At 45.9% G+C, this 17,358-nt stretch overlaps 1 long non-coding RNA gene and 1 pseudogene across 1 annotated transcript, besides 2 other annotated features; one reads left to right on the top strand and one right to left on the bottom strand.

Moving 5' to 3' along the window:
- Positions 2,854–3,354: an enhancer, noted in NCBI's record as "H3K4me1 hESC enhancer chr6:35536983-35537483 (GRCh37/hg19 assembly coordinates)". NCBI's record gives its function as "activates a minimal SCP1, AML or CMV promoter by ChIP-STARR-seq in primed H9 embryonic stem cells {active_cell/tissue: H9 hESC(primed)}" and the evidence as "EXISTENCE:reporter gene assay evidence [ECO:0000049][PMID:30033119]".
- LOC124901310 (uncharacterized) lies at positions 5,609–9,425 on the top strand. The gene is made up of 2 exons (XR_007059562.1): positions 5,609–5,946; positions 9,032–9,425. It is a non-coding gene; the product is annotated as an uncharacterized LOC124901310 (long non-coding RNA).
- Positions 5,695–5,895: a silencer, noted in NCBI's record as "fragment chr6:35534442-35534642 (GRCh37/hg19 assembly coordinates)". NCBI's record gives its function as "represses an EF-1alpha promoter that drives an FKBP-Casp9 reporter gene in an ReSE screen in phorbol 12-myristate 13-acetate-treated (for megakaryocytic differentiation) K562 erythroleukemia cells {active_cell/tissue: K562(+PMA)}" and the evidence as "EXISTENCE:reporter gene assay evidence [ECO:0000049][PMID:32094911]".
- On the bottom strand, positions 16,256–16,714 carry RPS15AP19 (ribosomal protein S15a pseudogene 19; annotated as a pseudogene).

The following is a 17,358-nucleotide window of genomic DNA, read 5'->3' as shown; positions in this document are numbered from 1 at the left end:
TGAGCCCAGGAGTTCGAGACCAGCCTGGGCAACATGGCAAGACCCTGTCTCTACAAAAAGTACAAAAATTAGACAGACATGATGGTATGCACCTTTAGGCCCAGTTACAGGCTGAGGTGGGAGGATCACTTGAGCCCTGGGAGGTTGAGGCTGCAGTGAGCCATGATCATGCCACTGCACTCCAGCCTGGGTGACAGAGCAAGACCCTATCTCAACCATAATAAATTCCCTTTATTTGCGTGCTTTTTTTTTGTAAGAAAATAATGATCACCCTAGGGATCTTGAGGATGAGCCAGAGAAGATTCCTGGCTGTAAATGTGTGATCTCAGAAATTCAGAGGCAGCTTGCACAACCTCCAAAACGAGGACTGCCAGTGAAGGGCTTTGTCTATACTTACTTGGCCTTAGCAGCACACTGAACTCCACTTTTAGTATGGTACATGTGAAGCCTGTATTCTCTGGGGCTGGAGACTATCTCCAGTATTGGTGACAAAACGCATTGAATTTGAGCCAGTTAGTCAAAATCCTGAAACTCAGAATTCCCCAACCCAGCTGTGTATTTTTTCCATCAGCTGGCTACTTATGCATCTGAATGACAGTGACTGACGAAAGTACATAAAAGGACATTCTCTGATGGCTTGAAAAGTTTTGGTAGACCTTCAGTACTTCCCTTCAGATTTTTCTCTACTACATGTCTGACATGGAGATTTCTGTGGGAGGAGAAGGCACTATCTGTAATTGCCCAGAATCTCCACGTGTGACCTTAATAATACACGGCAAGAAAGAGACAGCGTTAAATACAACTCTTAAGATTTTTGACAGCATCTTGTTTGGGTAACTGCAGCCTATAGTTAGAAAAATTAAAGCACAGTTTATAAGGCAGGGATTCTTTGTCTTCTAAAGATGAGGGAACCTTGGAGAATCAAGAATATGGGGAGGACCCAGAATGGTGATGCAGCCTGCCCATGGCCGTCAGGTCACCTGATGCCCTTGCACCATTTTAAAATAGGTCTTTTTCTAGTATGATGAGTGATGCTCTTGGTGTATGGAAGGAGATGTTGGTACTTCCTTAGAATTCCCACATTCGGTGGAACTGAAATGGCAGCAGAGCCATGGGCCTCATAGTCTACTTTGGAATAAATCTATGGTGGGAAGCTTGCCAACGTGTTAAGCAGAGGCATCTTTTTAAAATACACTTTAGGGGCCAGGGATGGTGGCTCACACCTGTAATCCCAGCACTTTGAGAGGCTGAGGCAGGAGGATTGCTTGAGGCCAGGAGTTCAAGACCAGCCTGGGCAACATAGTGAGACCCCATCACTACCACACACACACACACAAATTAATTAGCTACACATGGTGGTGCATGCCTATAGTCCCAGCTACTTGAGAGGCTGAGGTGAGAGGATACTTGAAGCCATGAGTCGTAGGCTTCAGTGAGCTATGATCACGCCACTGCACTCCAGCCTGGGCAACAGAGTGAGACCTTGTCTCTAAAATTAGAAAAAAAAATGTGGCTGCTACATTGTTTCCACCTCTCAAATCTCCACAAGGTCATTGGTCCTTGCTAACCCAGAACTAAGCAGGGAAGGAATTCTGGGACATGTGTTTCCAACTTGGCTTAGTTGACACATTGCAAATACAACATGTGGCTAAGGCTTTCTTTTTTGTTTTTGTTTTTGAGAGGGAGTTTTGTTCTTGTTGCCCAGGCTGGAGTGCAGTGGCACAATCTCGGCTCACTGCAACCTCTGCCTCCAGTATTCAAGTGATTCTCCTGCCTCAGCCTCCTGAGTAGCTGGGATTACAGGTGTCTGCCACCACACCCAGCTAATTTTTTGTATTTTTAGTAGAGATGGGGTTTCACCATGTTGGCCAGGCTGGTCTCGAGCTCCTGACCTCAGGTGATCAACTTGCGTCAGCCTCCCAAAATGCTGGGATTACAGGCGTGAGCCACCGGGTCCGGTCTGTATCTAAGCCTTTCTTGAGGTATTAAATATTTCCAGCCTGGGTCTGCTCTGGGATAATGTGTTTTCATAAGATAACTCCTTATTGTAGGCATTGTTCTTGGCTTAAAGTTATCTCCTTAAAGCTTCTGACTAGGGAAATAAGTGGTAAGAATAAACAGTTGATGAGTATTTGGGGATGCAATGACTAATTCTAGTTACTCTAGTTCTAGTGAATGACTTGATGAGTTTGTATTGTATCTGCTCACAACCGTGTTTCCACACTAAGGACTCCTGAATTTTTTTGTCTTAAAAACTTAAACCCGCTGGGTGTCCTGGCTCACACCTGTAATCCCAGCACTTTGGGAGGCCGAGGAGGGCGGATCACGAGGTCAGGAGATCAAGACCATCCTGACTAACATGGTGAAACCCCGTCTCTACTGAAAATATGAAAAATTCGCCAGGCTTGGTGGTGGGCGCCCATAATCCCAGCTACTCAGGAGGCTGAGGCAAGAGAATGACGCGAACCCAGGAGGCGGAGCTTGCAGTGAGCTGAGATCGCGCCACTGCACTCCAGCCTGGGCGACAGAGCGAGACTCTGTCTCAAAAAATAAAAATAAAAAACTTAAACCCATGTGTATCCTATTGCCCTCTGTGGCTACCAGAGTCTTCCTAACATGACACCAGCCTTTACCTGTAGTTAACAAAATGTGATTCCCCTTCTCCCACTGAGGGATCAGGAACACTGCCTTACTCATCACCATCCTCAGCACCCAGTCCATCATCCCCAAACTAGAACATAGTAGATACTCGGTAAGCTGGCTTTGTCCCTCCTCTGAAGGCAGCCTCTTGTCTGTATCCCAGTGGCCCTTCACTCCTGTTACCTGAGATGTGGAGGCCAAAGCCCCATGATACTGTGGTTGTCCCTGCAGCCTGATTTTGTGTCTTGAATTCTTTTCCAAGTGGTGAACCAGCAGCAACTTGAATTTTGAGAGCCCATAACTGTAAAATGGGTCCATCGTCTTCAGGCTACATTGATCTTATATCTATTTTTAGTCACAATTGATAACTCAGAGTTCACCAAATACGAAGATCAAATATAAAATATTTTCCTTAAAAGTATTCTAAGACCACCCCGCCCAGTCTGGTGCCCTGGTCAGCCAGCCCCCAAACATTTACGGCCCATCTGTTGTGAACTGGGTACTGTTCCACTGAGGTGAAGGATGGGGCCCCCTGGGCTGAGCGACTCGCAGACAAGTGAAAAATGAGGCATGCAGATGGCTGCATCATCACAGAGCATCTGCCATCTGCTACTGACATCTACAAAATAGGGAACAGCAGGAAACTCAAGCCTGCCTCTCCAGCTCTCCCCACTCATTCAGAGCCACACTGGAGACCGAGTCAAGCCAGGGCCCACCCCACTGCTGACATCCAGCCCAGTGCTACTGGGCAAGCCCTTCCTCAGCACTGCCCCCAGCTGGCCACTGTTCCACCCCTGTGCTTCTCTCCAAGCATCCGGGCTGCAAAAAGTGCCCAGCCCTACCCTGAGCTATACCAGCCCTCTTGCCCTGGGCCCAGCCAGGATGGTTTCTCCTGGTGGCAGGATGTTAATCTCTTTGGCACACCAGGCAGAAGTCTAGGAGCAGAGAGCTATGTCCTTAGGTCTGTTTTTCAGTTACCTGCCTACTGGAATACAGCTGCAAGAAAACTGTGTCCTTTATTTACGAGACAACTGTACAGATACAGCATGCCTAACTTTGCTTACTGCATGGTCACTAGGATGTACTGAGTTTCAAGGAAATATGTTTTTGCTACATTTTAATTAGCACTACCCCCCTTAGGTGAAATTTGGGCCAGGTGCAGTGGCTCACACCTGTCATCGTAGCACTTTGGGAGGCCAAGGCAGGAGGATCACTTGAAGCCAGGAGTTTGAGACCAGCCTAGGAAACAAAGCAAGACCCTGTCTCTACGAAAAAATTTTAAAATCAGCCGGGCGTGATGGCGCATGCCTGTAGTCCCTGCTACTCAGATGGATGAGGTGGGACGACTGCTTGAGCTCAGGAGGTCGAAGCTGCAGTGAGCTGTGATCATGCCACTGCACTCCAGCCTGGGTGACAGAGTGAGACCCTGTCTCAAAATAAATAAATAAATAGGCTGGGCTCGGTGGCTCTCACCTGTAATCCCAACACTTTGGGAGGCTGAGGGGGGCGGATCATGAGGTCAGGAGATTGAGACCATCCTGGCTAACACGGTGAAACCCCGTCTCTACTAAAAATACAAAAAATTAGCCGGGCGTGGTGGTGGCTGCCTGTAGTCCCAGACACTCGGGAGGCTGAGGCAGGAGAATGGCATGAACCTGGGAGGCAGAACTTGCAGTGAGCTGAGATTGTGCCATTGCACTCCAGCCTGGGCGATAGAGTGAGACTCCGTCTCAAAAAATAATAATAACTAAGTAAATAAACTTCCTGACTGTTCTGGGAACCCTCACCCCTTTGTCACCAACACACTTTCCCTGCAGAGAAAGCTACACTGCTTGAGTGAGTTGGTAAATGCTCCTCTCTCTCTCCACTCTGTCTCTCGCAAGGGCACGCAAGGCTTTCTATATGGGCTTCTAAGCTTTCTCTGAACCCAGCTGTCTGGTTGACAAGGAGCAGATTGTAATAAGACAATACAGTGAGGTTTGCACCCTTCTACCCTTCAGCCGTTACCAAATGTGACAGTAGGTAAGTAAACCAAGCCACCTTCAGGCTGCAAGTCGGGGCCTCAGAACCAAGTTATAACCTGAGATAACCCCAGTTGGCTGGATGATTGCCGAGACCAGACTTCCTACAGAGAGTGCTGCCCACTTCTGCGGTGATAACTGCAAAACAGGGCCCCTCATAATGTCCTCATCAGGACCTCCTCAATCTGAGGAACACAGAGGCCTCCAATGTTTGGCAAGAGCACTGGTTTGGGTCCAGCTCTGTGTTGGGATCTCTTGTTTCCTCACCTGTGAAATAACAATGGCTAATATTTATACAACTGTTTTAATTATAGTAGAAAACACATACCATGAAATTTATCATCTTAACAATTTTTCAGGTTTTTTTTTTCTTTTTTGAGACAGAGTCTCTCGTTCTGTTGCCCAGGCTGGAGTGCAGTGGCACAATCTTGGCTCACTGCAACCTCCACCTCCCGGGTTCAAGTAATTCTTGTTCCTCAGCCTCCCAAGTAACTGGGCATGGGCCATCATGCCCGGCTTTTTTGTATTTTTAGTAGAGACGGGGTTTCACCATGTTGGCCAGGCTAGTGTTAAATACAGTAAGAAGTTCTTCTTCAAAGGTTTAGCTTGTTTAAGTTTCCTTGTCCTCTGTTCCCTCCTTTCAAGGCCAGACTTCCTTACTCTCTGTGTCCCCCTGCCCTGGTAAACAACCTTCCCACCAGTCCTTATCTATACAGCCCACATTCCACATCTGCTACCCACTCTGTGAATTACCCCTCCCGTCACAACGACCCTCCCCGCAGAAACTGTTCCTCCCACCCCCCACCAGTGTAACCGCATTCTTGCACTTTTCAAGTTAGCCAACCGGGTTCAGCTTGGATTGGTCCAGCTCCAGCCAATGGAGACAGGACACAGTAGCGGGCACAAGCTGTGTTAGGAATAAAAACCCCTTCCCTCCTTTGTTTGGGGTGCTCTCGTGGCGACCAGACCTACAAGAAGCACCCTTCTGCAGAAGCAAATTTGCCTTGCTGAGAGATCCTTTGTCTCAGTGCTGGTTCTTCTTTGCAGCACTGAGCATTTGTTTCCAACAAATTTGGTGGCCCATATGGGGACCTCATTCTCCTCCGGGAAAGGGTCTCTGATCACTTCTCATGAGGAGACGCATCCCGCTAACTCATTGCAGTGGCCTCAAGGGTAAAGAATCGGGACCCACCCAGTGCAACCAATAAACCCAGACTCTTAGCAACACAGGAAGAAAAGGCCTACAGTTACTGTGGTGAGCAGGTAACGCTATGCACAGACCAAGGTAAGAAAAACTGTGGGGGTGGTGAAGTACTTCCTTGGTGGTAGGGACAGTTTGGAGGTTAAAAGTGTGTAAATAAGATGCACAATTAAGTGCAAAGCGAGTGTGGAGTAAAGTAAAGGAGTGCAAGAAATCTCCAGTGGGGGAGCTGAGCCTCCAGGGAAAGGGAGCAAAAAAAAAACAATCTCTAGTAAAAGAGGTTGAGCCAGGAGGCCGAGGCGGGTGAATCACGAGGTCAGGAGATCGAGACCGTCCTGGCTAACACAGCGAAACCCCATCTCTACTAAAAATACAAAAAAAAAAAAAAAATTAGCCGGGCGTGATGGCGGGCGCCTGTAGTCCCAGCTACTCGGGAGGCTGACGCCAGGGAATGGCGTGAACCTGGGAGGTGGAGCTTGCAGTGAGCCAAGATCGTGCCACTGCACTCCAGCCTGGGTGACAAAGCGAGACTCTGTGTCAAAAAAAAAAAAAAAAAAAAAGAGGTTGAGCCCCACACACACTCAGGTTGAGCCTTCAGGGAAAAGGGTGCAAGAAATCTCTAATAGGAGAGACTGAGCCCCCATTAACTTCCAGGATGGGAAATACCCCTAGTAAAACAAGAACTACAAAGGACCAAACATAAGAAAAAGCAACAGATGATAAAATATTGTTGTTTTTTTTGAACCAAAGAAACTATTCTTAAACCTTTAGTTTTCTGGCCAAGTTTTGGGTCAAATAAGGATTAGATTTGTCAACTTTTAATAAAGTATGTAAATAACAAAAGTCCTGTCTCCCAGGAAGAAATAGACTATGCCCTGCACTGGCGGCAGGGGCCTGTCCTCTACCCCCTAAAAACTGCAGGAAAAAAAGCCAGAAAATACCTCCCCTAAAGAAAGTAAAATCCCTAACCCCAAACAGTCCACTAGCACATGGGATTCAAAATTTCCCTTTCCCCTCCTCCTCAAAAAAGTCTACCCCAACCCTTTTTCCCTTAAGGGAAGTGCCTCTAGGAGGAGGGGAAATTGGCTTTGTAAATGCCCCTTAACTAGTTCAGAGGTCAGAAACCTAAGGAAGAAACTTAAACCACTATTAGATGATCTTTTTAGGGTTGTGGATCAAATTAACCGATTTTTAGGACCACAAGTATACACTTGGGCTGAGCTAATGTCCATCTTAAGTATTCTCTTTTCGGGAGAGGAAAGAACCATGATCCGCAGGGCTGCTATGATAGTCTGAGAGCGCAAACACCTTCCCAGTCAAAATATCCCTGCAGCAGAACAAAAATCGCCGGCCCAAAACCCCCAATGGGATAATAACAATGCAGCCCACCAAGAAAACATGAAAGGCCTTAGGAAAATGATAGTTAAAGGGATTCGGGAATCAGTGCCTCAAACCCAAAATATTTCCCGAGCATTTAATATGCAGCAAGGAAAAAACAAAGGGCCCACGGAGTTTTTAAACAGACTCAAGGAACAGGTAAGAAAATATACAGGCTTAAACATAAAGGATCCCCTTGGACAGGGGATGTTAAAGCTCCATTTTGTTACTAGTAGCCAAATATCACAAAGAAATTACAAAAACAGAGAACTGGAAAGATCAGCCTATAGAGGGAATGGAGGGAGTCAGGGAGAGAGAGAAAGAGAGGCAAAGAGAGAAGATGGAGAGGCAAGGAGAGACAGAGAGACAAAGAGAGGCAGAAAGAGAAAGACAGAGAGAGAGAGGGAGGAAAAGACAGAGAGCCAGAGGGAGAGGGAGAGAAAGAGAGGCAGAGAGAGAGAGAAAGAAGACAAAACAAATGTTTCAAATGTAAAAGAATAGGTCACTTCAAAAGAGAATGTCCCAAATGGGAAAAAGAAACAAAAGTCATATATAAAAGCAGATCAGCTAATATTAAATTTCTGTTAATTCCAGAGGCAAGAACAAACCTATTAGGGAGAGATCTAATGTTAAAATTTGGCTTAAGCCTCTACATTAATCAGGGAAAACTTCTCACCTCCCTGAACTTACCACCACAGATTATGAAAAGTGTATCCATCCTGATACATGGTCAAAAAAAGGACATCGAGAGAAATTACCAGTTCCTCCAATCGAGGTCAAATTAAAAACTCCCAGGAAAATAGTAAAAAGAAAACCCTTCCTTTGAAAGCCGGGCAAATAATCTAGCTGACCAAATAGCCAAGCAAGCTGCCTTTTCCCAAGCAGTACCCATTTTCCATTCAGCCCCTTGCCTTCCCCTCCAGCTGCGGTCCCCATCTTCTCCCATAAAGACCAAAAAAATGTTAAAAGAAATAGGAGCCAAGAAAAGCTCAGAGGGAAGGTGGGTACTACCAGATGGGAGAAAATGTTGTCTAAACCTCTCATGAGGGAAATATTGTCGCAGCTCCATCAAGGATCTCACTGGGGACCCCAAGCCATGTGTGGTGCAGTCCTTAGAGTTTACAGGTGTATAAGCATATACACTCTTGCTAAGCAAGCAGTTACAGAGTGTGCAGAAAAACTAATAAACAAATCCTAAAAAGGCAACCTACTGGGGGCAGAAATCCAGGGCTAAGACCATTCCAAAGTGCTCAAATTAATTACACTGAGATGCCCCCAGTCGTTTGCCTGAAGTACTTGTTGGTAATAGCAGACCACTTTACTCGCTGGGTAGGAGCCACCCCCTTCTCAAGTGCAACCACCAGTAATGTAGTTAAAGCATTAGTTAAAAACATTATACCCAGGTTTGGACTAATAGAAAACATGGATTCAGACAATGGAACCCATTTCACTGCACGTGTCATTAAAAAGCTAGCCCAGGTGCTAGACATAAAACAGGAATGCCATATCCCTTGGCAGGAAGGGTAAAAAGAATGAACCAGACTCTTAAAAAACCACCTCACCAAATTAATCCTAGAAACCCAGCTACCCTGGACTAAATGTCTCCCCATTGCCTTATTAAGAATCAGAACCATCCCTTGGAAAGATATCAGCTTATCCCCTTATAAAACGCTATATGGGCTACCTTATGTACATTCCACTACTGACATTCCTACATTTAAAACAAAATGTCAGTTCCTCAAAAATGATATACTTGGTCTATCTTCCACTTTCTCTTCTCTTAAAACCAAAGGTCTCTTAGCACAGGTGCTGCCCCTGGAATTCCCAGAACATCAACATCAGCTCCCGTCCTCATCAAAGGGTGGAAAAAAGGAAAGCTTGAACCAGCTTGGGAAGGACCTTATCTAGTGCTCCTGGCCACTGAAACTGCATCCGAACAGCAAAAAAAGGATGAACTCATCATACTCGAGTGAAAAAACATCACCACCTCCGGAGTCACGGGCTACTGTTCCAGGGGAAAGTGCTACCTAACTAAAGCTAAGAAAAACCCAACCCTCCTCATGAAGAGGAGACCCTGAAGGATCTCCAAAACCAAAGAAAGTTAGCCTCTATCAATAAGTACCTTTGCCCCTCCAAAATAAACAAAACTGCCTATAATAATAAAACTTGTACCAGATGTGCACAAAGCGCGGGGTGGAGGTTCTGTTATGGTTAGGGAGATGAACTCTGGACCACGAAATATCAAGGCTAGACCTCCCCAGGAGGAAGCTGCATTAATCTAAAGCCCGATATCCACCTTACCAAAGGCATAACTCCCCCTAATTGTCAGCCTCAGCAGTGTAACCCTATACAAATCTTCATCACTGTCCCCACCTCCACTGATGCTAACCCCACTCTAAGCCATTTCTGTGGCCTAGAAGCTAATTTTCATTCTGGGACAGACCCAATAGGATCTTTTGAAATGTGCTTCATTGATCCCCCACCCCCTTCCCTTTCTCCTTCTCCAGAGCCTTCTTTCATTCAGACTGTTATTTTTTCCAATAACAAAGCCATAGTCGACATTACAAATATTAGAGATTTAAAACAAACTTTAGCAGTCGAGACAGGATACCAAAATGCAAATGCCTGGTTGGAATGGGTTAAATATTCTGTTTGCACACTAAATAAAAACAACTGTTACACTGGTGCAACAGACAGGCCAGAGGCTCAAATAGTCCCTTTCCCTCTTGGATGGTCTTCTAACGAACTGGGCATAAGCTGCATGGTAAGTTTCTTCCAAAACTCCACAACCTGGGGCAGCAAGCCACACAAGACTCTCATTGCTATTCCCCAAAGTCAAAGGCTCTGTGGATCAGCCCCCAGGGGCCACCCGGCCTCCAGCCTCAGATGTTAATTTTACCTCGGGTCTCTCACGGCAGGGGGAGAAATTAATGTCTCTCAAAGACCTAAAATGGTGCAGTGAGACTAAGCCTTTCCAAGAACTTACCAGTCAAGCTGCCCTTACTCACTCCCGAGCAGACGTATGGTGGTATTGCGGGAAACTACTATGAAGTTCTCTGCCGAGTCACTGGAGTGGCACTTGTGCTCTCGTTCAATTGGCCATCCCTGTCACCCTGGCATTCCGCCAACACAGTAAGCAAGAAAGTCAGAACCGAGTTAAAAAAAAAAATAAAAAGCACTCCACTGGATCTTCTAACCCTCACATTTATATAGACGCTATTAGAATTCCACAAAGAGTACCAGATAACTTTAAAGCCCAGAATCAAATAGCTGCAGGGTTTTAATCTGTGCTGTTTTGGTGGTCAACTATAAACAAAAATGTAGATTAGACAAATTACGTTTATTACAACCAACAACGATTTGTTAAGTATACTAGAGACACTATTAAAGGGATAGCTGGACAATCAGGACCCACCAGTCAAATGGCCTGGGAAAACAGAATAGCATTAAACATAATACTAGCGAAAGAGGCCGGAGTCTGTGTCATGATTAAAGTCCAATGTTATACTTTTATCCCTAATAACACAGCCCCCGACAAAACAATAACAAAGGCTTTGCAAGGCCTAACCTCCTTATCCAACAAGTTAGCAAAAATTCTAGACTAAACGGCCCTTTCACAAATTTAATGGGAAATTGGTTCGGCAAACGGAAGGGACTTATGTCCTCAATCCTCACCTCTCCTACCATCAAAATAGGGTTCCTTATTCTTGTAGGATGCTGTATCATACCCTGTGCCCGAGGATTAATGCAAAGGCTTATTAAAATAGCTCTCATGAACATGGCTATACAAATATCTCCTGGAGACCTTGCTTTTAATTCTTTTGGTTCTGCGCCCACAAGTAGAATTGCTGGATCAAAGGGTAACTCTATTTTTAATTTTTTGAGGAATTGTCATACAGTTTCCACAGCAGATGCACCATTTTACACTCCCACTAACAGTGCACAAAGGTCCCAATTGCCCACGTCCTCACCAACACTTGTTATTTTCTGTTTTGTTTTTAGAGCAGCCATTCTGGTGAGTGTGAGGTGTTATCCCTTTGTGGTTCTGATTTGCATTTGCCTGGAAGTTAGCGACGTGGAGCATCTCTTCATATGCTTATTGACCATTTGTGTATCACCTCCAGAGAAATGTCTATTCAAGTCTTTCCCCCCTTTTTTCCTTCTGTTTTTTAGAGACAAGGTCTTGCTGCGGCACCCAGGCTTGAATACAGTGATGCGATCATAGCTCACTGTAGCCTCGAACTCCTGGGCTCAAGTGATCTCTACACTTCAGCCTCCTGAGTAGCTAGGGTTACAGGCATGTACCACCACACCTAGCTTTTTGTTTTTAGCAACCGAGTCTCACTGTTGCCCAGACTGGTCTTGAATTCCTGGATTCATGTGATGCTCCCACCTTGGCCTCCCAAAGTGCTGGGAATACAGGCATGAGCCACCACACTGGGCATTTGCCCATTTTTTATTTGTTTGTTGTTGTTGTTGTTTTTCCTTTTTTTTTGGTCATTGAGTAATAATAGCTAACATATATTATGCTCACATTATGTTCCAGAAAGTATACTCAGGGCCAAGCTGAGATGTGGCAACCCTGACAGTCACAATTTGGTAACTGTGGGCAGCAAGCCACCCAGGCGCCGAGGCAAGAGACCGAGGACACGAGCTGTTCCAGTATAATAAAATATAAAACAAGAATAGTTATACTAGATGTAGATCTTAGATATGATTGTATATGAATATCATTAATCATTAGTTTGTAGCAATTACTCTTTATTCCAATATTATAATAATCCTCGCTCTACAATCATAACCTAGGAAAAACCAGGCCATACAGAGATAGGAGCTGAGGGGACATAGTGAGGTGTGACCAGAAGACAAGAGTGCGAGCCTTCTGTTATGCCCAGACAGAGCCAGCAGAAGGGCTCCTTGGTCTAGCGGTAACGCCAGCTTCTGGGAAGATACCCGTTGCCAGGCAGACCGAAGTCTAGCGGTAGCGTAAGTGTCAGGGGAAAACACCTGCTACTTAGCAGACCGGGAAAGGGAGTCTCCCTTTCCCCGGGGGAGTTTAGAGAAGACTCTGCTCCTCCACCTCTTGTGGAGGGCCTGACATCAGTCAGGCTTGCCCGCAGTTATCCGGAGGCCTAACCATCTCCCTGTGATGCTGTGCTTCAGTGGTCACGCTCCTAGTCCGCCTTCATGTTCCATCCTGTACACCTGGCTCTGCCTTCTAGATAGCAGTAGTAAATTAGCGAAAGTACTAAAAGTCTCTGATATGCAGAAATAATGGCGTAAGCTGTCTTTCTCTTTGTCTCCTCTCTCTGCCTCAGCTGCCAGGCAGGGAAGGGCCCCCTGTCCAGTGGACACGTGACCCACGTGACCTTACCTATCAATGAAGATGACTCACACTCTTTACCCTGCCCCGTTTGCTTTGTATCCAATAAATAACAGCCAGACATTTGGGGCCACTACCGGTCTCCGCGCATTGGTGGTAGTGGTCCCCCGGGCCCAGCTGTCTTTTCTTTTATCTCTTTGTCTTGTGTCTTTATTTCCACACTCTCTCGTCTCCGCACACGGGGAGAGACCCACTGAGCCTGTGGGGCTGGACCCTGCAGGTAACCTTTCAAAGCTATAGTCTTTAAATATTTGCTAAACATTTATGGGGTAGGGGTTGGAAGCTGGACAGGGAGAAACTGATATCCTGTTATTAAAAATCATATATAGGCTGGGCACAGTGGCTCACGTCTGTAATCCCAGCACTTTGGGAGGCTGAGGTGGGAAGATTGCTTGAGCCCAGGAGTTTGAGACCACCCTGGGCAACATACTGAGACCTCGTCTCTACAAAAAATTTTAAAATTAGCCGAGAGTGGTGGTGCACGCCTGTAGTTCCAGCTACTTGGAAGGCTAAAGTGGGAGGATCACTTGAGCCCAGGAGTTAGAGGGTGCAGTGAGCTATGGTGGTGTCACTCACTCCAGCCTGGGTGACAGAGCAAGACCCTGACTCAAACGAAAAGAAAAGAAAAGATCATATAGAAACACACTAATTCATTTCTACTGGATGCAGTAGAGTCAATGTCTAAACAAAAGCTTTTTTTGACAAAATCTTTCCCACTTTTCTGAGATTCTTATTCTCTCTTCTCTTCTTGTCTCTGATTTTCCAAACTCGATAACTTCTCAGAAGGCTTGTTAAGGGGCTTAGATTTTTTTTTTTTTTTTTTTTTTTTTAAGACAGAGTCACTCTGTTGCCCAGGCTGGAGTGCAGTGGTATGATCTCGGCTCACTGCAACTTCCACCTCCTAGGTTCAAGCAATTCTCTTGCATCAGCTTCCCGAATAGCTGGGATTACAGGCATGTGCCACCACACCCAGATAATTTTTGTAGTTTTAGTAGAGACGGGGTTTCAGCATGTTGACCAGGCTGGTCTCGAACTCCTGACCTCAAGTGATCGATCCACCTGCCTCAGCCTCCGAAAGTGCTGGAATTACAGGTGTGAGCCACCGCGCCCAGCCTAGGGACTTAGAATTTCAGTAATGAAATAAATCACTCCTTTCCAGTAACCAGCACTAGGTCACGTATTCATCAGCCTCACAGTTTCAGCCGAGTGCCCTGCCATTCTCACGGAGAATGCGACACGTGGAAAGACAGGCAGGTGTGAGCAAGCAAAGCTTTCTACTTCCTTTGGTGGGCACAGGGCTAATTCACAAGTAAATGGTTACATAAGGAAACACCTGAAGGGACCCGAGCTGCTTGGCACATATTTCTGATTCATTGAAGTAATTTTTTTCCATTTGAAATTAGGAAATATTTCCTACAGTTAAGTATAGAATATAGTGATACCCATGTACCCGCCACCAGCATAAACAGATATGAACATTTTTGCCATCTTTGAGAGGTTTTATTCTTTTATTTTTTTGAGACAGGGTCTCACTCTGTCACCCAGGCTGGAGTGCAGTGGCTTGATCATGGCTCACTGCAGCCTTCACCTCCTGGCTCAAGTGATCCTCCCGCCTCAGCTTCCCTAGTAGCTGGGACTACAGGTATGTACCACCATCCCTGGCTACTTTTTAGGTTTTTTTGGAGAGATGGGGGTCTCACTATGTTGCCCGGGCTAGTCTCGAACTCCTGGCCTCAAGCAATCCTCCCATCTTGGCCTCCCAAAGTGCTGGGATTACAGGCGTGAGCCACCACGCCCAGCCCAGAGGTTTTATTTTTAAGAAAAGAAATGTTACAGATACAACTAGAGTCCCACATCCTTCCTTTTACCGTCCCTTCTCAGAGGTACCTACACTCCTGGAGTTAGTGTATATCATTCCTATTAGTGATTTATACTTTAACTACCCATCTCTGTATTCACAATCCAGTCCATTGCTTTGGGTGTTCATCAGTTTTACATAAATGATAGCAATGTACCCACTTATTATTTTTTTTAATTTTTATTTTTATTTATTTTTTTGAGACAGAGTTTCACTCTTGTCACTCACGCTGGAGTGCAATGGCGTGATCTTGGCTCACTGCAACCTCCACCTCCTGGGTTCAAGCGATTCTCCTGCCTAAGCCTCCCAAGTAACTGGGATTATAAGCACCTGCCACCACATCCAGCTAATTTTTGTATTTTTGGTAGAGATGGGGTTTCACCATGTTGGCCAGGCTCGTCTCGAACTCCTGACCTCAGGTGATCCACCCATCTCGGCCTCCCAAAGTGCTGGGATTACAGATGTGAGCCACCGAGCCCAGCCCCATTTATCATTCTTTTAGCTGCTCAGTGTTTGAGACCCCCTCCTATGTAGGAGGCTGAGCCCACTTCCACCATAAAGGCTGAAAGGCCAGCTGCCCGCCTGCCCTTGCAATAGGGGTAGGCATGTGACCTAGGCTCTGCCGGCCAGACCCACTTCCCCTAACTTGGCATTCAGCACTAGAGTTGCAGAGGCTGCACGAGGCAGAAGCAATTGTGGAAAATTTCCAGGGTAGCAGAGGCAGTAGTATCAGAGGCAGCTTCCCTTGTACCTGCCCAGAGCTGGCAGGCGATGGCTGTGCCAGCCGAAGGGCTGGGGCTTAACTGCAGAAATGGTTTAGTCTTGGATCTTGGTTCCTCAGCCCTCTCAGTGATTTTGTGAACTACCCAATATCCTTCCAATGAATCCTTTTCCTGCTTAAAGTCAGAAGGATTTTCTGTTGCTTACAGTTAAGGATCTGGTTAAAAAGGGTGATGCTTTTGCAACTCACTTTTTAAAATTTCTTTTTATTTTAGAGACAGGATCAGCCAGGTATCATAGCTTATGCCTGTAATCCCAACACTTTGGAAGGCTGAAGTGGAAGGATCCTTTGAAGCCAGGAATTCACGACCAGCCTGGGCAGCACAGTGAGACCCTCGTCTCTTTAAAAACATAAATAAATAAGGCCAGCCACGGTGGCTCACGCCTGTAATCCCAGCACTTTGGGAGTCCGAGGTGGGCGGATCACGAGGTCAGGAGATCGAGACCATCCTGGTTAATACAGTGAAACCCCGTCTCTACTAAAAATACAAAAAAGAAAAAAAAACATTAGCCAGGTGTGGTGGCGGGCGCCTATAGTCCCAGTTACTCGGGAGGCTGAGGCAGGAGAATGGCATCAACCCAGAAGGCAGAGCTTGCGGTGAACCGAGATTGCACCACTGCACTCCAGCCTGGGTGGCAGAGCGAGACTCTGTCTCAATAAATAAACAGTAAATAAATAAATAAAATAAAATAAAATAAAATTAGCCCGTGTGGTGGCATATGCCTATAGTACCAGCTACTAGAGAGCTGAGGTGGGAGGATCACTTGAGTCCAGGAGTTTGAGACCAGCTTGGGAAACATAGTGAAACCTCATCTCTACAAAAAATTTAAAAATTAGGCGGTTAGGGTGGCATGCCTCTGTAGTCCCAGCTACTGGGGAGGTTGAGGTGGGAGGATCGCTTGAGCCCAGGAGTTCTAGGCTGCAGTGAGCCATGATTGTGCCACTGCACTCCAGCCTGGGTGACAGAGCAAGACCCTGTCTTTTTTCTTTTTTTTCCATGAGACATTTTATTTGTAAATATATGTATTACATCCCTAGAAAAAGAATCCCAGGATTTTCCCTCCTGTGTGTTTTCGTCTTGCTTCTTCATGGTCCATGATGCCAGCTGAGGTTGTCAGTACAATGAAACCAAACTGGTGGGATGGAAGCAGATTATTCTGCCATTTTCTAGATCTTTGAGTTGCACACCGAATCTGGGGCTGATCACTCCACACTTGTTTAGCCTGCCTGTGAGGTTCGCAACAATTTTCCCAGCTCTGCGATCATCAATGATTTCAAATTCGCCAATGTAACCATGCTTCATCATCACAGTGAGAAACCGGACGATGAGTTTGGAGCACGGCCTAATAAGCACTGGGCGTTTGCCTCTCTTTTCGGCATTGTTGATGCTCTTGAGAGCATCGGCCAGGACGTTCACGCACACCATGGTGGCGTCGTGGGAAGATGGCGGAAAAGCTTTTTTTTTTTAAGAGACAACTTATCAACTATATTCATTCCATTCTTGGGGCACAGTTAGGTTGTTCCCACATTTTTACTATTGTGAACAGTGCTACGACACATATCCTTGTACACCTGTCTCCTTGTGTCCATGTATGAAAGTCGACATAGGGTCTAAGCATCTGCAACTTCACTAGGTATTGACAAACTCCCAAGTAGTTGTACTAGTTTACCAAAAACCATCAGCGTGAGTATGAGTTCAGGTTTCCCACATATTTACCACCATTTGGTTTTAGAAAATCCATTAACTTTTTCCAATTTTATGGGACATTATATCTCACTGTTGCTTTGATTTCTATGTCCTTGATTCTAGGTGAGGCTTAGCAACTTGTCATATGAAAGGTTATTGGGGGCTGGGCAAGGTGGCTCACACCTGTGATCCCAGCACTTTAGGAGGCAAAGGCAGGGGGATCGCTTGAGCCCAGGAGTTCAAGGCCAGTCTAGGCAACACAGCGAGAACCTGTCTCTATTAATAAAAAAAGAAAAAAGAAAAGAAAGGTTATTGGGAAGCCCCAGAATGGAAGTCTCTGTGGCTTTTTCCTCTTGAGCTGGTCCATTTCCCCAGAGAGGAATTTTCCTGGAAGTCAGCATCCACTCACC

This window comes from Homo sapiens, chromosome 6, assembly GCF_000001405.40.
Source record: "Homo sapiens chromosome 6, GRCh38.p14 Primary Assembly".
Lineage (NCBI taxonomy): Eukaryota > Metazoa > Chordata > Mammalia > Primates > Hominidae > Homo > Homo sapiens.
The sequence above is the reverse complement of the archived record's forward strand: the minus strand, read 5'-3'. Positions and strand labels throughout refer to the sequence as shown.